General features: G+C 43.6%; 1 protein-coding gene and 1 long non-coding RNA gene across 2 annotated transcripts, besides 4 other annotated features; both read right to left on the minus strand.

Moving 5' to 3' along the window:
* ATOH7 (atonal bHLH transcription factor 7) lies at positions 5,902–7,420 on the minus strand. Its single transcript, NM_145178.4, has one exon. The coding sequence runs from the start codon at positions 6,982–6,984 to the stop codon at positions 6,526–6,528; it is 459 nt and encodes a 152-aa protein (NP_660161.1). The 5' UTR covers positions 6,985–7,420; the 3' UTR covers positions 5,902–6,525.
* Positions 6,895–6,974: a silencer, noted in NCBI's record as "silent region_2418". NCBI's record gives its function as "represses an Ori minimal core promoter by ATAC-STARR-seq in GM12878 lymphoblastoid cells {active_cell/tissue: GM12878}" and the evidence as "EXISTENCE:reporter gene assay evidence [ECO:0000049][PMID:35858748]".
* On the minus strand, positions 11,826–19,466 carry LINC02640 (long intergenic non-protein coding RNA 2640). Its single transcript, XR_001747481.1, has 3 exons — positions 19,431–19,466; positions 17,627–17,693; positions 11,826–12,938 (listed from the first exon to the last, which is right to left on the minus strand). It is a non-coding gene; the product is annotated as a long intergenic non-protein coding RNA 2640 (long non-coding RNA).
* Positions 16,710–16,879: an enhancer, noted in NCBI's record as "experimental_16219 CRE fragment used in MPRA reporter constructs". NCBI's record gives its function as "activates a minimal promoter by MPRAs in K562 erythroleukemia cells, with activity observed for the introgressed 10:70001245 or rs12573244 variant allele {active_cell/tissue: K562}" and the evidence as "EXISTENCE:reporter gene assay evidence [ECO:0000049][PMID:34662402]".
* Position 16,795: a transcriptional cis regulatory region, noted in NCBI's record as "Neanderthal adaptively introgressed variant 10:70001245 (GRCh37/hg19 assembly coordinates) or rs12573244 in the experimental_16219 CRE". NCBI's record gives its function as "modulates activity of the experimental_16219 enhancer by MPRAs in K562 erythroleukemia cells {active_cell/tissue: K562}" and the evidence as "EXISTENCE:reporter gene assay evidence [ECO:0000049][PMID:34662402]".
* Positions 25,037–25,206: an enhancer, noted in NCBI's record as "experimental_16253 CRE fragment used in MPRA reporter constructs". NCBI's record gives its function as "activates a minimal promoter by MPRAs in K562 erythroleukemia cells, with activity observed for the non-introgressed 10:70009572 variant allele {active_cell/tissue: K562}" and the evidence as "EXISTENCE:reporter gene assay evidence [ECO:0000049][PMID:34662402]".

Below are 25,504 nucleotides of genomic sequence, written 5' to 3' on the forward strand. Positions count from 1 at the left end.
AGGTGGATATAATTGAATCATGGGGACAGCTTCCCCCATGCTGTTCTCTTGATAGTGAGTGAGTCTCACGAGATCTGATGGTTTTATAAGAGTCTGGCTTTTCCCCTGCTGGCACTCATTCTCTCTCCTGCCACCCTGTGAAGAGGTGCCTTCTGCCATGATTGTAAATTTCTTGAGGCCTCCCCAGCCATGTGGAACTGTGAGTCCATTAAAACTCTTTTCTTTATGAGTTACCCAGTCTCTGGTATTTCTTCATAGCAGTGTGAGAATGGACTATAATACAGTAACATAACATTGTAGTGCAACACATGACTCAACATGTCTGTAGTGATGCTACTATAAACAAACCAACTGCTCTGCCACTCATACATATTCAAACAATTGCACATACAACTATGTACAGTACATAATACTTGATAATGAAAATAAACAACTATCTTACTGGTTTATGTATCTATTATAAAATACTTTTAGAGTGTACTTCTTCTACTTATAAAAAGAATGGGTAACTGTAAAACAGACTCAGGCACATCCTTCAGGTGGTATTCAAGAAGGCATTGTTATCATAAGAGATGGCTCCAGGCCTTATACTACCCCTGAACACCTTCCAGTGCGACCAAATGTGGAGGAGGAAGACAGTGACATTGATGAATCTAGCCCTTTGTAAGCTCAGGTTAATGTGGGCCTACAAAGGTTAATGTGGGCCTACAAAAGGTTAATGTTTCTTTTTTTTTTTTTTTGAAACGGAGTCTTGCTCTGTCGCCCAGGCTGGAGTGCAATGGTGCGATCTCAGCTCACTGCAACCTCCGCCTCCTGGGTTCAAGTGAGTCTCCTGCCTCAGCCTCTTGAGTAGCTAGGACTACAGCCATGCGCCACCATGCCAGGCCAATTATTGTATTTTTAGTAGAGCCAGGGTTTCACCTTGTTGACCAGGCTGGTCTCAAACTCCTGACCTCAGATGATCTGCCCAAATCAGCCCCCTAAAATGCTGGGATTACAGGCGTGAGCCACCATGTCCGGCCATTAATGTGAGTTTCTATGTCTTAGTTTTTAACAAAAAAGTTTAAAAAGTAAAAAAATTAAAATAAATTTTAATTTTAAAAAATCTTATAGAATAAGAATATAAAGAAAATATTTTTGTACAGCTGCACAACGTGTTTGTGTTTTAAGCAGTGTGCTTTTACAAGAGTCAAAAAGTTTGAAAATGTCAAAAAATTACCAATAAGCTGAGGTTAATTTATTATTAAAGAAAGAAAATATTTTATAAATTGAGTGTAGCCTAAGTGTACAGTGTTTATAAAGTCTGCAGTGGTGTACAGCAATGCCCTAGGCTTTCACATTCACTCACCACTCACTGGCTCAGCCAGAGTAGCTTCCATTCCTGCAAGCTCCATTCATGGTAAGTGCTTTCTACAGGTGTGCCATTTTTTATCTTTAATACTGTATTTTTACTGTACCTTTTCTATGTTTAGAAACACAAATAATTATCATTGTGTTATAATTTTCCACAGTATTCAGTACAGTAACATGCTGCACAGGTTTATAGGCTAGGAGCAATAGGCTGTACCATATAGCCTAGGTGTGTAGCAGGCTAGACCATCTAGTTTTTGTAAGTACACTCTGATGTTCATACAATGATGAAATCACCTAACAACGCGTTTCTCAGAATGTATGCCCATTGTTGAGCAATGTGTGACCGTTGTCTTTCAGCTTTGGTATTTTGGGGATACACGATTCATCTGAAATAGCAATCTAAAAATCCTATGTAAATTCAATATAATACTTGTTAACATTTGTACCCACTAGTATATTTATAACCAGAGAAGGGAAAAGGTGTACATATGAGACAATAGATCATATATTTATTGTCTTATGTGTACTTTGAAATTTCTGGCTGGGCGCGGTGGCTCATGCCTGTAATCTCAGCACTTTGGGATGCCAAAACGGGCAGATCACGAGGTCATGAGATTGAGACCCTCCTGGCTAACACGGTGAAACCCTGCCTCTTCTAAAAATACAAAAAAGTAGCCAGGCGTGGTGGCGGGTGCCTGTAGTCCCAGCTACTCGGGAGGCTGATGCAGGAGAATGGCGTGAACCCAGGAGGCGGAGCTTGCAGTGAGCCGAGATCGGGCCACTGCACTCCAGCCTGGGGGACAGAGCGAGACTCCATCTTAAAAAAAAAAAAAAGAAAGAAAGAAATGTGTTTCACACATAGGTATAGAAAAGAGATATCTTCAGTGATGTCTAGACAGAGAGCAGATGCTAGCCAAATTCAGTACCAAAATAGCACTTTGCTTTTACTGCAATATGGCGAAATTTAAGTGAATTGAGCCTTAATTGTTGAATCCTGCAGCTCCACTAACCACAATCTAAATACACCCTCATCTGTGCCATATCTAGCAGAAATTTTAGATCTTCATTAGTATAAATATCAACTCATTAACTAAGAAACTGGCTATATTGGATGTTTAGCCTCGTCTTCCTTATGATCTGCAAATAGAAAGAATAGAAAGTCGGCCAGGCGCAGTGGCTCACACCTGTAATCCCAGCACTTTGGGAGGCTGAGGCCGGTGGATCACGAGGTCAGAAGATCGAGACCATCCTGGCTAACACGGTGAAACTCCATCTCTACTAAAAATACAAAAAATTAGCCGGGCATCGTGGCGGGCGCCTGTAGTCCCAGCTACTCGGGAGGCTGAGGCAGGAGAATGGCGTGAACCCGGGAGGCAGAGCTTGCAGTGAGCCGAGATCGCGCCACTGCACTCCAGCCTGGGCGACAGAGCAAGACTCCGTCTCAAAAATGAATAAATAAATAAATAAATAAATAAATAGGAAGTCAGTATAACCAGTTTTTGGTAATGAGACTAATGGTGGCTTGTCCCATCTTTTTTTGTTTTTCTTTTTGTTTTTGAGACAGGATCTCACTCTGTCACCCAGGCTGGAGTGCTGAGGCACAATCATAGCTCACTGCAACCTCAAACTCCTGGACTCAAGCAATCCTCCCCCAACTCAGCCTCCAGAGTAGTTGGGACTGCAGATGCACACCACCACACCTGGCTAATTTGTAAATTTTTTGTACAGATGGAGTCTCACTTTGCTGCCCAGGCTGGTCTTGAATTCCTGGCCTCAAGTTATCCTCTTGCCTCAGGCTCCCAAAGTGCTGGGATTGCAGGGATGAGCAACGGTGCCCAGTTACCTTTCCCATCTTGATAGTCCTGTTTATTTGTATGTGTTTCTTCAAGAGTTCTGACCTTGGGGTTTGGGAGCTCAATCTCTAGCTTGCACCCAGGGAGAGCCCACATATAATAATAGCTAGTCAAACTTCCAGAGGAGATCTTCCTTTATTATTTAATGCCCCTCTATTAGGAGCTCTTACAGCACATATCCCTGGTACAACACTATTGAAGGATTTGGCTAAACTCTGTTTAGGACTACTTAATGATTAATGTGTGTGTGTTCTCTTTTGGTTGTCTAGCCAAGGACAAGAATGGTGTCACATAAGACTGGGTGTGTGTCGGTACTTGATAATATTTGTTGATTTGTTGAAAAAAAGGAGCACAGATACAAAAATATTTTTTAATTTTAATGTCTTGTCAAACTAAAAAGAAAATGAATTTCCAAGATGAACAGTATAAAATACTATAGCAAGTTTTAGGTTGCTTGGTAATCGAAATTCTATTACATATCATGATATATGAATCTTGACTGCAAAAAGATTTTATACTTGGTTTTAGCTGAGCTCCTACTTAATAAACCACAATGGATCTCTCAACATACAGTTTGAAGAGTTTCATCAAAGATTGGATTTGATCACTGAGACTTATTTACTTTTCCCTCATATGTCTTCCAGGAAAAAAAAAAATAGTACATTGAGTGGGGTGGAAAGTTTAGAAATTTGGTAAAAGCTAAGTTGCTTCCAGAAATCTTCAAAACCCAGAAGCAGAAAGCTAAAGGCTTAGTATTTAAAAGACAGACTCCCATTCTTTTGGAGGAGCGACGTCAGGGAAGAAGTATGAGATTAGAATCCCATCATTTTAATTAAATTGTCTTATTTCATTAAGAAAGTGTTGTTAAATTGGTAGCCAAAAATGAAATATCTGTTGAAAAAATAACTTTTTCTGTGCAAAGCCCTATACTAGAAGCCATAGAGATACAATGAAAAGCACACTACTCTTTCACAAGGTATTTACAGTTCAGAGAGGGAGATGTGACATCCTACCTGAAAAATGACTAATGATCTTAATATATTTTTGAGACATTCTCTGATAAACAAAAGCACCGATTTTGCTCATTCTCGAACTCTGCACACTTCCTGGAGTTATTAATGAAGCTTCTCAGGAGATCTGAGTAAGTAGACTATTGTGCCCAAATAGCAAGTAAGGCAAATGCCTTGAATCTTGCCATTGACCCAAGTGCACACTGCAGAGTGGAGTTGTGACTAGAAAGGGGTCCTGGCATCATGACTTCTAGAATTGTGTTGTTTGTCTGCTAGATCACATAGCGTCTTTTAAGAGTTGTTGGAGTCAAGAGGTTAAACATTTTACTATTGAATTTGCAGTTTCTAAATTTTCAGTTTACTATCAAATTTGCAGGAAGCAAAGTTCTGAGCTCTCCTGTTTCTCATTAATGGATATCACCTGGAAAGGGAAATGCAGCTTCAAACTCCCAAGGGGTTTCTGAAAATACACTTGTGATTTTTTTTTTTTTTTTTTTGAGACGGAGTTTTGCTCTTATTGCCCAAGCTGGAGTGCAATGGCACAATCTCGGCTCACTGCAACCTCCACTTCCCGGGTTCAAGCGATTCTCCTGCCTCAGCTTCCCAAGTAGCTGGGATTACAGGCATATGCCACCACGCCTGGCTAATTTCGTATTTTTAGTAGAGATAGGGTTTCATCATGTTGGTCAGGCTGTTCTCAAACTTCTAACCTCAGGTGATCCACCTGCCTCGGCCTCCCAAAGTACTGGGATTACAGGCATGAGCCACTGCGCCTGGCCCACCTGTGATTTTTTTAAGTGTAAATGTATGTATGGGCTGGGGAAGACACTTTCCCTCATTACACACCAAACGGATTTTGATAGGGATAACTAAGAAAATAAAAATTGTAATAAAGTCTGTAGATAAACTGTGAAGAGGCAGCTGTGTCTGAGGTTAGGCTTGGGAATCCAAAATAAAAGAGTTTTGGGAGTCATTGGTGTTTTTGTTGACTTGTGACAAGACAAATTCCAAATGCATGGATAACTTAGAGTCCTGCTTTTCCTAATTATGAGTAAGACATTCTCCCAAATGCATGCACCACTCTTCACCAAGTCACTCTTTACATGAAGGGCTTGGTTTATCCACGCAATGGTTAAGCAAATTAATGAAAGTAATTCAAACCAATACCATGTTTATTATTTTGCTCCCATTTTGATTGGTCTTGATGGTAGTGAAGCCCTTATTGTCCAACTTGTACTGATTAAAAGGAAATCACTTCCAAAGGCAATATTTTTAATTTCTGTGTTAGTTTTAGAAATATAGAAGTGTATTCCTGTATATGTGTATATATACATTACTGTATACATATAAGAATAACTACATATATTTGGGTACTTGTAAGGACTTAGTAGCAATCTGCTTAATGTGGATAATAAAATATTGAGGAACTGTGTATCTAGTTACTTAAAAGCTAAATATTTCACTTTAATCTTTTTAAAAATCAACAAAAAATATACAAGTTGACAGAGAAAATGTTTAAATTAATTACATGTACTCTCATCAGCTTTTTGAGGAACTACTACAAAGCGGCACATTCGTTTATTGGTCGGATTAGGTTTAAACACTCCACATCTTTGCTCAGGGAAGCATTCTATATCATCACCTCCAAAGAGTTCTTTAGCGCCATCAGGAAACTGGCAAGGTACTTGGCATGAAAAACAAATCCACGTTTTTATTTATATTTTATAAAATGTATATTTTAATAATGTGTACACAGTTTAAAAAAATACAGAGCACCGATACCCATGTACTGTACCCAGAAAAAAAAAGTGTTTCTACTTCATGCTTGCACACACAATGCACTAAAGCAAAAACGCATTTACACAACAGGAAGGTAGCTCTGTTGTGAGCAAACACAAGTAATGGATACTGTAACTTCACCCGAACAGGACAAACTCACAAAGTTTAAGAAAGTGATTATTTCTCTGAGGACTGGAACAGAATAGCTTAATCCTATTTTTCTTAAGATTGTTTTCCCTCAAAGTAGCCCAGAAAAGGGGAAAGGGGGCATTATTTTCACAGCAATCAACCCATTCACAAGATCCATTAATGAAATCTACAAAATACAAAGGAGGAGGGGAAAAGAAAGGCAATTAAATGATTGCGTCCATAGGTCTGATGATGCGAATAAAGGTAATCTGAGAATCGACTAATTTTCCTCGAGGATTGCATCCTTAGAATCCTGGGCCGCCGGAGGCTTCTGGGCTACTTGGGGCAGGGCCGAGGCTCGGAGCGGCTGCCGGACACCCACCCCCGCGGAGGCGCGCGCCCTAGGTGGCCATCTGGAAGGGCTCGGGCTGGAAGCCGAAGAGTCTCTGGCTGTACAGCTCGCTCTCGCCCGGCAGCTTCGCGCCCGGGAACGGGAGGTAGTGGTCGCGGCCGAAGTGCTCACAGTGGAGACCCACCCAGTCCCGCTCCGAGCCGAATCGCTCGGCCTCGGCCAGGATCCGGGTCAGAGCCATGATGTAGCTCAGGGCCATCTGCAGGGTCTCGTACTTGGACAGCTTTTTATCCTGGCCCCACTGGGGAACCACCCTGCGTAAGCGGTCGAAGGCAGTGTTGAGCCCCTGCATGCGGCGGCGCTCGCGCGCGTTGGCCGCCAGGCGCCTGCGCGCCGCGCTCTCCAGCCGCCCGGCCCCGGCGCACGTGCCCGCGCACTCGGTGCCGCCCGCGCACGGGGGTGCAACGCGCGCTCCCGCCGGCGGGCCGCTGGGCTTGCAGGACTTCATCCCCGGCCCCAAGCAGCGAGGCGCCGACCTCGCACGCCCGCCCGCTCAGGACCTGCGCGTGGGCTGGTCTCTCGAGCCGCTTCCCAACGTGCCTCTTCTGAGCAAATAAGTCATAAACAAAGCAACTCACGTGCAATCAAATAGTTTACAGTGGGGGAGTGCGGGACTCGGCCTTCTGTTCTACTGGATGACCAGGCTGATATCTCTTCACTTGCCCAAATTTAGGGGAAAATGAGATGCTCAAGAGAAAGTCATTTTCTCAACATGAAGTTGAAAAAGAGAAGGAAACCTTCTGCAGCAGAGTTTGGTGTGGCTGGTTCGAGGAAGGCCTTTCAAGTCCTCTGGGAAAGCCTGAGACTCCTTTGCAGGAAGATGAACTCTTTCCCGAAGCTCAGGGAAGGAGCGCTTTTAGCGCAGTAGCTGTCGGAGAGTGCAGAATGAATCTTGGAGGGAGGAGAATTTATAGCAAAGAGCTGAAGGAGGGAACAGGTGGTGGCAGGTGGGCGGGCGTCCCTCGGCTTCTATCTCAGCACCTTCCTACCCTGGGAACTGCGGGGAGGAGGGGGCGACGCACAGCAAAATCCTGACATTACAGCATTAGTCTGTTGAAGTTTCTCCAAAGCTATGTCCAACACTAACTAACACACCATCTGGAGTGGCCTGGCTGTCCCCAAAAGAATAACAAGGTGGGGGTTGGGGCAGAGCTTGGTCTATCTTTTCCCGTATCAGTGGGCAGCTTACGTATCAAAAACTTAACCGAGACTTGTAAATTATTAGACATCATCTGTGTGAAAATGTTGGTTTCGGCATTATGAGATACATCGGGACTGTAGTATAAGAGGATGTAGCTTTGTTGAGAAGTGTGACAATTTTGCATAACGCTAATCTAATATACTGACATTTTAATTTTAGTTATTAAGTAAGTTGGAACAAATTAGCAGGTTCCAATATTATTGCAGACCTGGAATTTTACTGTGCAAATAATTTGGCTGTTTTCTATGAAATAATGTATTATAACATATCAAAAGATATTAACGTGTATATAAAACTTTATATTATTCTAATTATATAATTGGGTTGCTTGAATTCAGATACTTAGGCAAATCAATTCAGTATTTATACTTCATTCCCCCTGACACAGGTTCATAAATATTTGTGGGAAATGCACTGAGATGATAACTAATCATTTAATCATTTAACATTTAAATCAAAGAAAACTAATCATAATGCACATTTTTGTGCAAAATGAGAACATCTAAGTAACTTCTGAGGTTTTAAAAAATAGTTCCCAAAGCACAATTTTTGAAAATAGTTTACATCTTTGAACATTTCAGTTGTGTCAACTGCCCGCAGGAATAATAACAAAGCATGATTTCTGCTATTGATAATGACGATCTAATTGATGCAGAAAAACCATTAATTTGATTCTCTCATCTCTGCTCATTTCTCACTCTTAAGAGGAATCAAGGAGCAAGAAAACTACCTCCAAATAGGTTCAATCCAGAATCCTTACTGGATTTTTTAGGAAGACCAAGTATGCTCTTTCTCCTTTTGAAATATGGATATGTCAGCATTATTCTCAAATATGTTTATTAAAATGTCAACAAACTGTCACAAACTAGTAGTCTTTTAACCGTGACTTGCTTTCCCCACCATTGCTCAGACTATAACCCCATTGTGACCGCCCTGACTCCAAGTCCTGTCTTCTCATAAATAGTTGATTAATCCCCCAGCTGAAGCAATGACAATGAAATGAAGTTGAATGACATGAAGACAATAGGAAGCAATTGAACATTAATGATCTCCAGCATGACAGATGTTGAACACAGACTTCTGCATGGAGCCACTCAGCTCTGTTACTTTGGGTCATAACAGTCTTGGTTGGGAACAGCAGTCCTGTGACAGAAAAGACTATGTTATATAGTCATCAAAATGTCAAATATATTTTTCTGTGTTTCTGTGGAAATCTGCCCTATTAATGCCGTTGTTCTTCATATTCATTTGCTTCATCTCTTTCCTCCAAAGAGCTCCCTCTGTGCTGCTCTGTGGAATGTTTCTCTGCAAAATGGACTGTACATTTGTTCTGGATGTTATTGTCCAAAGTGCTAATGAGATGTATGATTTTGCAGGCCATGTACCCAGGATTGATGAGACTGTAGCCCAAGTCCAAAGGCAATGAAAGCATAACTTGAAGAGAAACAGGAAATACTACTGTGCACACAACAGTTATATTAGAACATAAACTAGCAGATACCTATGATATGAAGTTGATCCAAGGATAGAGAGAATTGCTGCAGTAAAGGGTCTTAGAGGGCATGTATAACACATTTCCCAAATGTATTCTGAAAGACATTATTAGAATGACAAAGATGCTTCTGGGGGAAAGGGTTCCATTGTCAAATAAATTTGGGAAACAGTATCTGCTGTCTTCCACTTGGAGAGTCATGAAGCAAAATTGGCACAGTAAAGTTTCTGAGAAATCCTGGAGTAAAGAAACCTATTGACTCCAGCATTTCTGAGATCTCCTTGAACACAGAACCCTCTTATCCTAGAAAGATCTATTGACAAAGTTCCTTGGCTGGGTGCAGTGGCTTATGCCTATAATCCTAGCACTTTGGGAGGCCGAGGCGGGAGGATTGCTTGAGACCAGCCTAGGCAATATAGTGAGATCCTATCTCTATGAAAAATGTTTTAAAAATATTAGTTGGGTGTGGTGGCATGCACCTGTAGTCCCAGCTACTTGAGAGGCTGAAATGGGAGGTTTGCTTGAGCCTGGGAGGTGGAGGCTGCAGTGAGCAGTGATCACCACTACACTCCAGCCTGGGCAACAAAGTATGACCCTGTCTCAAAACAAACAAAGTTCCTTGGACACTTTTTCTAACCTGCTCTAGTACATTTCATTTCATTTATTTTATTTATTTGTTTGTTTATTTTTTGAGACAAAGTTTCACTCTTTTTGCCCACGCTGGAGTGCAGTGGTGCAATCTCAGCTCACTGCAACCTCCACCTGCCAAATTCAAGTGATTCTCCTGCCTCAGCCTCCCAAATAGCTGGGATTACAGGCATGTGCCACCACACCGGCTAATTTTGCATTTTTAGTAGACACGGGGTTTCACCATGTTGGCCAGGCTGGTCTCGAACTCTTGTCCTCAGGTGATCCACCCGCCTCAGCCTCCCAAAGTGCTGGAATTACAGGCGTGAGCCACCGCGCTCAGCCTTCATTTATTTTACAGAGGAGAAGGAGACTGAGATCTAGAGACTGAACATTGTACTAAAAGGCACTGAGCAATTTAATGATTAGATTAAGGCAAGAAGTCAAATCTCCTGCATCCCTTCATTTTAGAGGCTTTAAAATTAGAAGATCAGTTAATACAAGCCCCTCATTTTGCAATGGGCCAACTGATATCTACCAGTCACTTCCCAGTCAGACAAGTCACTAATAAAATTTTCAGGAATAGAATTAGCAATTTTGTGCATAAAGGACAGCATCAGTTATTTTATAACCCTAGTGTCTAGCACACTAGACACTAGAAAATAATAAGTAGTCAGTAAATAACCTGGAATGAGTGACTGGAACAATAAACTAGGTAAATGATAGATGCGGGCCAGAATGAACACATTCCTAGTGAATAACCCAGACAATGATTCATGTTCCCTCACCTGTAGGGAACGGGAGCTAGCTGCACATTTTGAATGCAGAATGACTTCTTAAAAAACAGGCTGGGTGCAGTGGCTCACACCATCATTTCAGCACAGGAATTTCAGACCAGCCTATGCAGCATAGTAAGACCCTGTCTCTACAGAAATAAAATTAATTAGCTGGGAGTAATGGAGAATGCCTGTAGTACCAGTTACTTGAGAGGCTAAGTAAGGGAGGATAGCTTGAGTATAGGAGGTCAAGGCTGCAGTGAGCTATGATTGCACCACTGACTCCAGCCTGGGTGACAGAGCAAGACCCTGTCTCAAAAAAAAAAAAAAAAAAAAAATCCATAGCCTTTTGGGCCAGAAGAACATGTATGTCAGACTAATTTCCACAGTGTTTCCATACTGAATGTATGATCTTACTAGTTGAATTGGTGGTTACCATACATCTGGTGGTTGGCCAGAAATCAAAACTGGCAGATGGAGATAAGGAGATGGCAGGAATTGGGGGTGGACCCAGGGAAGAAGGAGTTTGCACATGCAGAAGGAATAGAAAAATAGAAAATATTATTTTAAAGGTAAAAGATCCATGGCTAGAAATTATTACATAAAATGTGTAGAATAGGTTTAAGGGTAAACATTCCTTTATTATCCAAAACTGTGTTTAATTTTTAAGATGAAAGCTCTCAAACACACACACACACACACACACACAAACACACAAAATTAAAAGAGAGAAAGGAAAACACTTGGAAAAAAATATTCATTCTGAAATTTGCAGAGAAAACTATGGAAATTGAAGACTGAGCCTTCATTATTGAGAGTGTAGCAGTCAGGAGACTCTGGGTCCCCTAAAGACTAAGAGGAAAGTCAGCAAAGGACAAAGGAACAATGAAGCTGAGGTCCACTCCTATTTTATTGAAAACCAAAAGTGCAGTGTGTTAACAGTTCCTGTAGCTTTATTTATTTATTTATTTATTTAAAGGCGGAATCTGACTCTGTCTTCTGGGCTGGAGTGCAGTGGTATGATCTCAGCTCATTGCAATCTCTACCTCCTGGGTTTGAGCAGTTCTCCTGCCTCAGCCTCCTGAGTAGCTGGGGTTACAGGGGTGCACCACCACACCCGGCTAATTTTTGTATTTTTAGTAGAGATGGGGTTTCACCATGTTGGCCAGGCTAGTCTCAAACTCTTGACCTCAGTGATCTGCCTGCCTCGGCCTCCCAAAGTTCTGGGATTACAGGCGTGAGCCACTGCGCCCAGCCGAGTTCCTGTAACTTTATAATGTGCTGCGTAGTTACCAGGAGGAGAAAAACCCACAAAAAGATTGAAGGATTGAAGCCAAATCTTGTACCTCTACTCCCTGCCACTCAAAGGTCCAGGGAAGAGAAAAGCCAGTGAAGGACAGAAATTAAGAAGGGACAGGGACTAATCATGAGGTCAAGAGAAAGATGACAACAATGGGGGGCCTTGTCCCAGGCCTCGGCAGTAATCACTCACCAGAAAAATCCAAGCTCACCAAAGGACCCCAGGAGGTTCTCCAGCTTCCAGTCACTTGGCACACTGCTGGAGAATTCTGGCTAGGCACTTTGATTTAGACTCTAGTTGCCATGAGCCAGACCGACTTGCACAGTTTGCACTCTGCCTTCACTCTTCTTGCTAGTGGATCTTAGAGTCCTGTTGGCATTGTGGCTAAACATAACACCATCTTTGGAGTCCATTTTGAATCCTGGACCCCCCATCAACTAGCTGAGTTATGTGCTCTTGTGCAAGTCACTTCTCCTGTTTCTCCACCTGCAAGGTAGGAATCATAATACCTACCTCATAGGGGAGATTGCATTAAATAAGACTGGGCCTGCAAAAGACCCTGCCTGGTCCCTATGAAAGTCACCCTTTAAATGACAGCGAGGATTACATATTATGAATTTTTTTTATAAATCGTAATAAAAATGAGCTTGTCATCAGTTTCTGAAGATTCTGAATTAAATGAATAATTTTTGAACCTTTTATACATCGAACTATAAAGTCATGATATGAATCTCAGCTGTGTGATCTTGGCCAACTTACTTAACTTCTCTGTGCCTCTCATGTTATATGTAAGAGAGGAATAGTAATAGTATAATCAATCTCATACAATAGGATTAAATTAGTTTCTCTTTGTAAAGCACTTAGATCTATGCCTGGCATACAATTAAATGTAATATAGCTGCTTGCTTAAATAAACAAAATAACCTGTTGCAGTTTTCCAGGGTGTAGAATAGTCACCCACTCCTGCTTATTTTTGCTTCAATTTTCTGCTCTTGAGTGCTGGTACCTTAGGGTGAACAGGGACAGGGAGAGAAGGGAAAATTCAAATAGGTTCATTTTGCCTTTGATATTGGAGCAATCTTGTTTGAAATGTCAGAGACTGGCCAGGCGCGGTGGCTCACGGCCGTGATCCCAGCACTTTGGGAGGCTGACGCAGGTAGATCATCTGAGGTCAGGAGTTCGAGACCAGCCTGGCCAACATGGCGAAACCCCGTTTCTACAAAAAAACTACAAAAATTAGCGGGGCATGGTGGTACACGCCTGTAGTCCCCACTACTTGGGAGGCTGAGGCAGGAGAATCGCATGAACCCGGGAAGCAGAGGTTGCAGTGAGCCGAGATCGTGCCACTGTACTCTAGCCTGGGTGACAGAGTGAAATTCCGTCTCAAAAAAAAAAAAAAGTCAGTGACAGAAGCCAAAAGGCTGCTCAGGGAAAGCCTTAGTTGGTAGTAAGTTTAGTGATTTCATTAGAGTTTGAGGTTCAGTTTTACAGTTGCAGACACATAGTTAAAAGTGTTCATTTTCAGGGGATGCTCTACTTGTCCAGTGACTGAAATATTTGCATTTACCATCCAGGCCTCTTCCTTCCTGGTACGGAGGTATTTGAGGAGACAAACTGACAATCATGATGTTGCTTTACACATATAGAACCAGAACAAAGGGAATGGGTCTTAAGGATGTGCTAAGCTTTTTGTGGCATACTTAGGCTGGCAGCTACATTTCTCAGAATGCCTTTCCCTGTGTGGCTCCAGATTTGAGTTGGGCAAACGAGCAGTTGCATGAGCTATGGGAGGCATAAGTAAAGTCACCAAAGTCTGGAGACGACTGCAGGTTGAGGGACAGGAGAGACAGACACAGAGGTGCCAATGGAGCCCAGTTTGTGTTTGTCTTCTCTTATTCCACATACAGCACACACCCTCTCGACTGTTGGCCCTACTGAGCAACAGCAGCCCCAGGCCCGCCACCAGATGCTTCATGTGAACTCAAGGAGGTGACAGCCACAGGGCACCTGGCTTCTCTGCCACCTCCCTGCCCTTACTTCAGCAGTTGGACATCCCTGGCTTCCGGAGTCCTTGCATGCTCGGATTCATTCACCCAAGCCAGTGCTGCTTAGGGACTTTCATCCAATCCTTCAACAACTTTTTTTTTTTTTTTTTTTTTGAGACGGAGTCTTGCTGTGTCGCCCAGGCTGCAGTGCAGTGGTGCTATCTCGGCTCACAGCAACCTCTACTTCCCGGGTTCAAGCAACTCTCCTGTCTCAGCCTCCTGAGTAGCTGGAATTACAAGCGTGAACCACCATGCCCGGCTAATTTTTGTATTTTTAGTAGAGATGGGGTTTCACCATGTTGGCCAGGCTGGTCTCTAACTCCTGACCTCAGATGATTTCCCCAACGGGGCCTCCTAAAGTGCTGGGATTACAGGAGTGAGCCACCACGCCCGGCCAGAAACTTCTTTTTTGGACCTTTATGTCCCTAGCTCCTCTCCCAATTGTGTAAGACCTTGTCCTTCTAAGAAATTCCTTCTTCCATTATGCTCAGAGTGGCTCTGCTTTCCTGACCGGACCCTGACTGGAGCAAGGGATATTTCATCCAGACCTCAGTAAGGCCACAAGACCTATCCCTGCCTGCCAGTGGAGAGAGACCATCTGCACAGTGTCCATGTGTCCACCAGGATACGAGACTTTGTATCTTGGACAGGGATTACTACTTCTATCTGTTCAGCCCTGTGCCAGGCAACATCAGGGATAAGACGGCCTTTAGCCTATTGGAATTCACGATCCAATTCTGCAGGTAAGATCCATTTAACAGATATTAAAAACCTACCGTGAGCAGTAAACCAGGGTCTTGCTCCCCAACAGGTGCATAAGACAACCAATTAGAGTATGGGAAAATAATATAAATTTTACTGACATTTGTTTTACATCTTTCTTTTAATTTCTGTCTTGGGGTGGAGGGACCCCACACACGGGGGGAGAGTAGACATTGCCCCCCAGCAACTCCCAGCAACACAGCTCTTTTTCCTTTTGCTAATGGCCCCTTTCAAGAGAAATAATGTCCTCCAAAAGCAATGGCAACAGACCTGCTGCTTTGTTTCTGCTCTGAAATGGTGGCATTTGCTGTTTCACAGTGAGCAGGTGGCTTTCTTCCCCAAAGGGTGGCTCTCATTACATCCAGGTTTCAGGCGGTACCTGAGTCAGCTCAGAGTTAAAGCCCAGAGGCTTCACTTGCCCAGGCCAGACACTGATGTCGGCTCCCTGCCCCGTGGGAAGTGGTTTTCTGTTTATTTTAGTTGGTTTAGCCTTTTTTGTTTCCTTGTGCAATTTCAGCAGCTTGGCTAAACAAGTTATTCTAAGTGTCCAGACACCCGGGTCTTCTGATTCTGAGGTTGTATTCCCATCACTCCTCACCATTGTTTTTGACTCTTACTTCCTGGCTGTGTGCCTGCCTCCTACTGACCTCCACTGAGAGGGAAGCAAAAAGATACCATGGCTAGCTGGCCAGACATCTGTCCCAATCGGATTCCTAGGCGATCTTTAAGTAGAACCCCAAACTGGAAGCCATATGAGTGTATAGTCTTTTCTATTCCTTTGGTAACTATATACCAACTTGTTTCATTGTTTCAAACTGATTTTCATTTGTTCATTTACTCAACAAATTTTTATTTTATTTTATTTCATTTTTTGAGACAGGGTTTTACTCTGTCACCCAGTCTGGAGTGCAGTGGCACATCATGGGTCACTGCAGCCTCAACTTCCCTGGGCTCAGATGATCCTCCCACCTCAGCCTCCAGAATAGCTGAGAAAACAGGCACGTGGCCACCATGCCTAGCTAATATTTTTATTTTTTATTTTTTCAGACGGGGTTTCACCATGTTGCCCAGGCTGGTTTCAAACTCCTGAGCTCAGGCAATCCACCTGCCTCGGCCTCCCAAAGTGTTGGGATTACAGGCATGAGCCACTGCGCCAGGTTTGACAAATACTTATTGTACTTACAATGTACCAGGGATTGTAGGCCCTAGAGATAGTGCTGAACAAACTGCAAAAATCTCTGCCCTCGTGCATATTTAAAACTGGTAATGTTGGTATCTTCTTACATGTTTATTTCCTGCTTCTCCAAATAGACTAAAAATTCTTTGAGAGAAGGGACAAATTTTCAATGTCTGGTTCTTGCTAGAATGTTCAATAAATACATATTTGCTGCTTGGCTGACTGAAGTTCTTACTTATTCAGGCTGACCTTAAGCTAAAAAAAATGGTTATCATCACCATAACAATATTTGCACCTTCAGGAAATACCAAATGCTCACCCAGTGTTAACTCCAATTCTTATAACCCTCTTTGAGTGAGGACAGTTGTAATCCCATTTTGTGGCCAAGAAAACCAAGGCCCTAGTTAAACTGAGCAACACAGCAGCCAGGTTTGAACCCAGCTCTCTTTCTACACAGAGCTCATGCTCTGTGCTGCACTGGCCCTTGTCTGTGAGAGCTTTGATGGCAGGAACACGGCCTTATTCTTCACGGTGTACCCAGTTCCTAGAAAAGGAGCTGGGACCCGGTTGCACTCATTAAATATGCTGGGATGTGTAAGCAGTCACTGTGTCAGGCCCAGCTGGCCCCCATTCTGCTAAACTATAGGCACAGGATCTAGCAATCTGCAGGCACAGATGAGCCTCATTCTGTGAACCAAGTCCAAGGGTTCCTTGGAGCCCCATTTCCCACTAGGTGTTGTCTGATATACCTGGGAGTGAGCCAGAGGCTCCTGAAGATGCATAAACCTCACCTTCTTCTTTGGACCTTCCTGCAACACCCCTTCCCCCATGGGCCCTCCTCCTTAGGTTCCCAAAGTTCCCATCAGCTTGGGTAATGGGGTCCCTTGTCCACCATGAGATCTCTCCTCTGAGGACCTGGACTCTTGCTCTTCTCTCAGCAGAGGACTAGGGGCCTGCCTAACCTACACACACCTTCCCAGCCCCGGCACCCACCACTGGATTACTCCCACACTGCACCGTACCTGGAGCCTCTGCATCTCTTCACATAAAATCAGATCCTTGCACATTGGTGCCAAAATAAAGTCTCAGTTTGCCTTGTCCCTCTGCCACTGAGCATCTGACCATCCTGCTCACATGCCAATTTCACCCCCGAGTCAGTTCCTCCAACCCTGGCTGCCATTGTTTGCATGTTCACCTCCCTGGGACTGCCTGTTCTTGAGGCTTCGGTGGACCAGGGGTGGACCTGAGCACCCGGCACTGACAGTCATGACATTCCTGCTGACTGCAGTGCTCAGGTGACAAGTGACACTCATGACCTTTCTTTTCAGCACATTTGTCCCATTCCCTAGTGGCTACTCCCAATTGCCATATAATTTGTCACTCTACGTCACTTGATTCACCTCAGCAAGCTTGCTTTGCTACTATCCGAGGAACACTGAATTGGGTCCCAGGTAACATTGGTTCCATGTCTCCATGCTCCTTGGTGGCATACATGACTCACGTAAGTCATCTAGGATGGAAGCCAAAGTTGGCTTATATACTTAACCACTTCAGGCTAAGAAACACTCCTATAACATAAGTTTTCTGCAGAAGCCCATTAAAAGAACCTCTTACTGATTGGATCCCCAACATGTCCCCAGAATCAAGTGGTTCGGAGTAATTCCAGAGTGCTGACTCAAACCCCAATCCCTCCTTTTTCTCATTACTCACTTTATCTAGATCAGCTTTGTTGGTCCTCCAAAGTGTGTTTCCCAAATGTTGTCCTGAAACTGCTACCCTTCAACAAAGAAAAGAAAATTCTGGCTTAGACAAAGCTATACAGTCATCCTTTGGTTCCTGTTGGGGATTGGCTTCAGGACCTTTTTTGGATACCAAAATTTATGGATGCTCAAGCCCCTGATATAAAATGATGTTGTATTTGCATATAACCTATGCATATCCTCCCATATACCTTAAATCATCCACAGATTACTTGTGATAGCTAACACAAAGTAAATGCTATGGAAATTATTGTTGTACCGTATTGATTAGGGAATAATGACAAGAAAAAAGTCTGTGCATGTTGAGTACAGACACAATTTTTTTTCTCAAAAAAAAATTTTTTTTTTGAGATGGAGTCTAACTTCTGTTGGGCAGGCTGGAGTTCAGTGGTGTGATCTTGGCTCACTGCAACCTCCACCTCCCGGGTTCAAGCAATTCTCCTTCCTCAGCCTCCCAAGTAGGTGGGATTACAGGCATGCGCCACCACACCCAGATAATTTTTGTATTTTTAGTAGAGACGGGGGTTTCGCCATGTTGGCCAGGCTGGTCTCGAACTCCTGACCTCAGGTGATCCACCTGTCTTGGCCTCCTAAAGTGCTAGGGTTACAGGCATGAGCCACCACACCCGGCCTTCTCAAATATTTTTGATCCACAGTTGACTGAATCCATGGATGTAAAATCCATGGATAGGGAGAGCCAACTCAATGATTGTTTTTTTTTTTTTAACTGCAGGACTTTTTAGAACGTTTACTATGATTATGGTTTTTCTCAAGACAGAATGTGCAGCATTTCCTGAACTTGTATGGCATGGAGCTCCTTCATCTCAGAGAATATCCAAAGAGCATGTCCATAAAAAAAATTTTGAAAAATGCTAAATCCAGCTGGGTGCAGTGGCTCACACCTGTAATCCCAGCACTTTGGGAGGCTGAGGCAGGCAGATCACTTGAGGCCAAGAGTCCAAGACAAGCCAGGTCAACATGGCTAGACCCTCGTCTCTACTAAAAATACAAAAATTAGCCAAGCGTGGTGGTGCGCACCTGTAATCCCAGCTACTCAGGGGGCTGAGGCACAAGAATCCACTTGAACCCAGGAGATGGAGGTTGCAGTGAGCCAAGATCACAGCCCTGCACTCCAGCCTGGGTGACAGAGTGAGACCCTGTAAAAAAAAAAAAGACGGAAGAAAGAAAGAAGAAAGAAAGAAAGAAAGAAAGAAAGAAAGAAAGAAAGAAAGAAAGAAAGAAAGAAAAGAAAGAAGGGAGGGAGGGAGGGAGGAAGGAAGGAAGGAAGGAAAGAAAGAGAAAGAAAGAAAGAAAGAAAGAAAGAAAGAGAAAGGAAGAAAGAAAGAAAAGAAAAGAAAAATGCTAAATCCATAACTTAAATTAAAGAGTAGTCTGTCTTAAAACATTTCAGTGGATAATTTTTAAAAATCCATACATCTTTACACTCAGAAGTTTTTAAACTTGCTATTTTGAAATTAAAGAACTAGATTCCTCCTCCCTGCAATCTAGTCATTCTTTTGAGCCCTGAAGATTTCTCTTATAAAGTGACTTATAAGCATGCAAATTCTCCAGCAGTGTCAAGGGTAAGGTAGATGTGCTGGGAGAATATTCAGGGACAGAACTGGTTGGCAAGGAAGATGCTCAAACACTCATAGTTCCGTTGGCTGTGAGGGGAGGAAGACTTTTCTTCATCCATCCTATGCTCCTGGCTGAGGCCCCTAAAACAAAAGACAGCCAGGCACTGTGTCTCACACCTGTAATCCCAGTTCTTTGGGAAGCCAAGGCAGGAAGATCACTTGAAGCCAGGAGTTTGAGACTAGCCTGAGCAACACAGCAAGATCCTGTCCTACAAAAAAAAAAAAATTAAAAATTAGCGGGGTATGGTGGTATGAAGCTGTGATCCCAGCTACTCAGGAGGCTGAGATGGGAGGATTGCTTGAGCCCAAGAGTTTGAGGCTGCAGTGAGCTGCGATTGCATTACTGCCCTCCAACCTGGGCAACAGAGCAAGACCCAGACTCAAAACAAACAAACAACAACAACAAAAAAAACCAAAAGACTGATTAACAAGAGAAAAGCATATAAATTCATTTAATATACATTTTATTTGACATGGAGGCCTTCATAAGGAAACGAAAACCTGAAGAAATAGGTAAACCTGCATGTTTTGTGTGCCAGGTTTGATGAAGAAGTGGATAGTTGTGGAGAAGTATGATTGCACAAAGGGATTTATCACCTAATGGTGATAAACTGGGGGAACTTAGCAAGGTCTGTTTGTTCAGATTCTTCCTTGTGTCTTCAAAGAAAAGGATATTCCTTTCCTCCAGGTATAAGGGGGTCACCTCTCTTTTTTTGAGATGGAGTCTCACTCTGTCGCCCAAGCTGGAGTGCAGTGGCCCGATCTCGGCTCATTGCAACTTCCGCCTAGCAGGTTCAAGTGATTCCCCCACCTCAGCCTCCCCAGTAGCTGGGACTACAGGTGTGCACCACCAAGCCTGGCTAACTTTTTTGTATTTTTGGTAGAGATGGGGTTTCACCATGTTGGCCAGGCTGGTCTCGAACTCCCGACCTCAGGTGGTCCGCCCACCAGTCGTTTGACCTGCTTCAGGGGAGAAGGGCAGGGAAAAGGTGAGAGTGACCTTCCTGCTTCTGCTGTTTTCTCAGATATTTTGGGGATCGTGCCCCGAACCCAGTCTGCAGGCAGCCTAGAATTTGGCTGTGTATACAGGAACCCAGGAAAGGAAGGAAGTGCCAATAGAGAGAAGGGAAATGGTGGCAGGGTCAGATTCAAACTCTGGCCTTCCCCGTAATTTATTGCCCAAGGCCTGGTGGTATACACATGTCTGTGAATAACCTGCCTCTGCTATGTGAATGCTTCTAACTGTTGTTCAGTTAACCCACTAAAAAGAAAAACAGAATCAGACATCATGTGCCTCACAATGGAAAAACACAGCATCTAGTATACTCACTAAAAAATTAAACCTGAATTTTATTAGGTCTCCATATCTAATGATTAATTTGCATGAAATTCAGGGGAGAGAGAATTATGTTAAGAGAGACCATGGGGAGGCAATCAGCAAAATCCAGAATTAAGAAACTGAATAAGACAATTGATTGGTTTCTCCAACAAATATACTGCATTTTTTTTTTAAAAAAAGGAGGGAAATGTGTAGAATTAGAATAAGAGACTAGAACCATATCAACCAAATGCAATGTGTGAGTCTTGTTTGGATCCTGATTCAAATAAACCAACTCTAAAAATATTTTTGGGGCTATCAGGGAAATTTAAGCTCTGACTAAATAGCTGGTAATAATAAAGAATTATTGGCTGGGCACAGTGGCTCATGCCTATAATCCCAGCACTTTGGGAGAACAAGGCAGGAGGATCACCTGAAGTCAGGAGTTCGAGACCTGTCTGGCCAACATAGTGAAACCCTGTCTCTACTAAAAATACAAAAATTAACTGAGTGTGATGGCACACATCTGTAGTCCCAGCTAGTCAGGAGGTTGAGGCAGGAGAATCGTTTGAACCTGGGAGGCAGAGGTTGCCGTGAGCCAAGATCATGCCATTGCACTCCAGCCTGGGTGACAGAGCAACACTCTATCTAAAAAAAAAAAAAAGAAGAATTATTAGGCTGCATGTTGTGGTTCACATCTGTCATACCTGTAATCGCAGCAGCATTTTGGGAGGCTGGGGCAGGAGGATCACTTGAAGCCAGGAGTTCAAGACCAGCCTGGGCAACATAGCAAGACCCTGACTCTACAAAAAGTGTAAATATTAGCGAGGTTAGGTTGCATGCACCTGTAGTCCCAGCTACTTGGGAGGCTGAGGCAGGAGGATTGCTTCAACGCAAGAGGTCAAATTTACAGTGAGCTATGATCATGCTATTGCACTTAAGCCGGGTGACACGGCGAGACCCTGTCTCTAAAACAAACAAAAAGAATTATTATTATTTTAGATGTAATAAAGATATCATGGTTACACTGTTTAAGGCCTTATATGTTAGGGGTACATACTAAAATATAAATGAAACTATATACAGTAATGTGTAAGATTTACTCTAAAATAATTCAGGGTGGGGGGAGTAGGTGAAGGTATTGGTGGAACAAAATCAGATGCCTACTAGTTAATAATTGTCAGAGCTGTTTATGGACACATTGTGGTTCATTATATGGTACTATTCTCTCTGTTTGAAATTCTCCATTACACCAAATTTATTTATTTATTTATTTATTTATTTATCTATTTATTTATTTATTTATTGAGATGGAGTCTCGCTCTGTTGCCCAGGCTGGAGTGCAGTCGCGTGATCTCAACTCACTGCAACCTCCGCCTCCTGGGTTCAAGCGATTCTCCTGCCTCAGCCTCCTGAGTAGCTGGGATTACAGGGATGCGCCACCACGCCCAGCTAATTTTTGTATTTTTAGTAGAGACGGGGTTTCATCATGTTGGCCACGCTGGTCTCAAACTCCTGACCTCAGCTGATCCACCTGCCTCAGCCTCCCAAAATGTCAGGATTAAAGCGTGAGCCACTGCGCCCTGCCATTACACCAAATTTAAAAATTGTGTGTTGGGATTGGGGCGAATGAGTCGATCATCATCATGTGGGCTCCTGAAAATTGAAAAAAAAAATCAGTCTGTAGAAAATTTCCATTTCAAGGTTGTATTTGGTGATGCTTCAGAAATGGGGACAGAATTCAGAACAGGAGCAGCGTGTGTCTTCAAGTGCTGGTGGTCACCATCAGTGCCTTGGCCTCAAGGAGGTGACCTGCTTACAGGTCAGTGAACCTCACAGAACCTCCCTCTGGGGTCCCAGATATTAATCCAACTCTTTGCTGATTTCACAACCTGCCTGGAGACACCCCTAGCTGCTCCCTGCTGGACTGATCCCAGTCCTGATGTTACCTACCATGTGTGTTGCGGGGAGGGGGAAGGAAAGGAGACTTAGAGAGATAAATGTAAGGTACGGGAGCCCTCAAGATGAGGAGGCCATAAGAAGGTTGTAACTGCTAATTCCTGACACGGAAGCATGAAAACCCTTGGAAGCTTAGAGGAGGTTTTGGTAGATCCTGTGATATGTATCATAAGCTAAAGCAATGCTGCTGAGGCTAACTCCTGCAGAAGTGAGGATGGGTTATGTCATGGCCACCCATGGGGGATGATTTCCATGCCAGAGAAGAGAAGGAAATGAATTGGCCTTTACAAGAAATTCTAGCTTCAGCTCAGCTACAAAGTTACCCAGCCTTTGATGATATCATATAGAAGGTCTCCCTATTTGAGGGAGGTAGGAGAAAGATTTCAATCTCTTGGTCAGAATTTTGCCCAGCTTCAGAGTTGTCACAGATAAATGGACCCAATCTCATGTTCAGATCCTGATGAAGCCTTCTGGAGAAGTCAAAGCCAGAGCCTTCCAATTTTGAATCAGTGCCCAAACATGAATTACAATGACGGATATTATGGAAGAAGCCATTCCCAGTGATAACTGTGGGAAATCCATGGCCTGCCTCACTGTAGGAGTAACAGAGCCAAGACTAATTTCCAGCTCATCACTGAAGGCAATATTGTGGTTCATAAAGAAAAGGAAGGTACTTAGCTGTACAAGTTCGAGCAGCTTAGATGAGCCTGAAGCCTTTTTTCTGATACAGTGGACCTTTGGCATTTGAAGAATTAACATTCCAGTGTCACCTCTTCTCGAGGAAGCCACTTGGGTATTTTGGGTAGGCATAAATTTCAATCCCAGATTGCCAGACATGGATGCAAATCACTTAGCCAAGGAACAGATCCAGCTGGCTAACCACCTGGCACCTGCATCCCCGTGCAGCCTTACACTCTTGTGCCTTACAGCTCAGGTGACCTTTATGAGGAAAATGTTACATTATGATGATATATTTTTTTTTTGAGACGGAGTTTCACTCTTGTTACCCAGACTGGAGTGTAATGGCGATCTCAGCTCACCGCAACCTCCACCTCCTGCCTCAGCCTCCCGAGTAGCTGCGATTACAAGAATGTGCCACCACGCCCCGCTAACTTTGTATTTTTAGTAGAAACAGGGTTTTTTCATGTTGGTCAGGCTGGTCTCAAACTCCTGACCTCAGGTGATCTGCCAGGCAAGGTAGTTCACGCCTGTAATCCCAACATTTTGGGAGGCCGAGGTAGGTGGATCACAAGGCCAGGAGTTCAAGATCAGCCTGGACAACGTAGTGAAACCTTGTCTCTATTAAAAATACAAAAATTAGCTGGGCATGGTGGTGGGTGCCTGTAGTCCCAGCTACTTGGGAGGCTGAGGCAGGAGAATCCCTTGAACCCAGGAGGTGGAGGTTGCAGTGAGCCGAGATCCCATCACTACACTTCAGCCTGGGTGACACAGCGAGACTCTGTCTCAAAAAAGAAAAAAAGAAAGAAAAAGAAAAGAAAAAAGAAAAAAAGAGAATCCAGAGGTTTTGGGTTAAACCATTTGCAAACATCACAAGCCTACTGTACAAAACTCATTCTCACTCTTTTTTTTTTTTAATCTTTGTTGGGGAATAGTATCACTCAAGCATCTTTCAGAAGCAAAAAGAAAAAAGAAAATAACCATTCTTCGGTTAATGTATTTATTTATTTTTATTTTTTTATTTTGTTTGAGACGGAGTCTTACTCTGTCACCCAAGCTGGAGTGCAATGGCATGATCTTGGCTCACTGCAACCACTGTCTCCCGGGTTCAAGCGATTCTCCTGCCTCAGCCTCCAGAGTAGCTGGGATTACAGTTGCACTCCACCACACCTGGCTAATTTTGTATTTTTAGTAGAGTCGGGGTTTCACCATGTTGGTCAGGCTAGTCTCGAATTCCTGACCTCAGGTGATCCACCTGCCTCAGCCTCCCAAAGTGCTGGGGTTACAGGCGTGAGCCACCACGCCCAGCCTCTTTGGTTAATTTAAGCAAAAAAGGGGATTTATGAGAAAGATGCTGGGAGTAGCTCACTAAATCAAGTGAAGCTGAAACCATCAATTCTCTGTCAGGACGTAAATGAAGGTGACCTGGGACCTTGGGAGCTATTGCTCCTGGCACTGGAGCACTATCATGAGACGACTCTGCACCAACTGACTTGTCTATTTCAGTCACATTTTCAAATACCCAGGAGAGAGAACATAGCTGGCCAGCTTGACAGGTGTCTCTAGCTTCGGCCAGAGAACAGGACACGGAGCACCAGCATGGTCACTGGGAGATCAGTTGTGAGCCAGAAGCCACTGCAGGTTGTGTCTACTAGAGAAAGAAGGACCTGCTAGAGAAAGAGGGATCCTGCCCCAATGATGGAAGCCAGCTGAAGCTGTAGATTAACTAAAAAAAAAAAAAAAAAGTAATCAAGCATCTTGCAGAAGCTGTGATTCTGGTTTGTAGCACAGTCCTCCCTACCGCTGCTGCTCTCTACTCATCTGGTAGAACTGGCCCTTCCTCTCCCATGCTCCTCACTCAGCCCCATGCAGGGGCAGAGGCAGAGGTCTTCAAGAACTCCCATTCTCTTGGCGTCCATTGCAATGAAACTACCTCTGATGGAAGAGAGGAGACCTTGTGGTACAGGCCAGGCAGCCCACACTCCATCAATGTCTGGCCCTGAAAAAAGCAACCCCATCCCCAGCTACATGAAAGCTTTTCTCCCACATGGATCATCACTTGATCTTGCTTATCCATCTCTCTTGGGAATGATCCACCTGAGAAATATGACAGAAGCCATTGCCATAGCTGTTGCCAGGTACCCCAAGTTCTGTTTCTGATGGGACCCGGGAATTGGCATGAAGTGCTTCCGGAGCAATAACCCATTCATCTCAGGGTGAATCAAAGTACAGCATG

Source organism: Homo sapiens, chromosome 10, assembly GCF_000001405.40.
Source record: "Homo sapiens chromosome 10, GRCh38.p14 Primary Assembly".
NCBI lineage: Eukaryota > Metazoa > Chordata > Mammalia > Primates > Hominidae > Homo > Homo sapiens.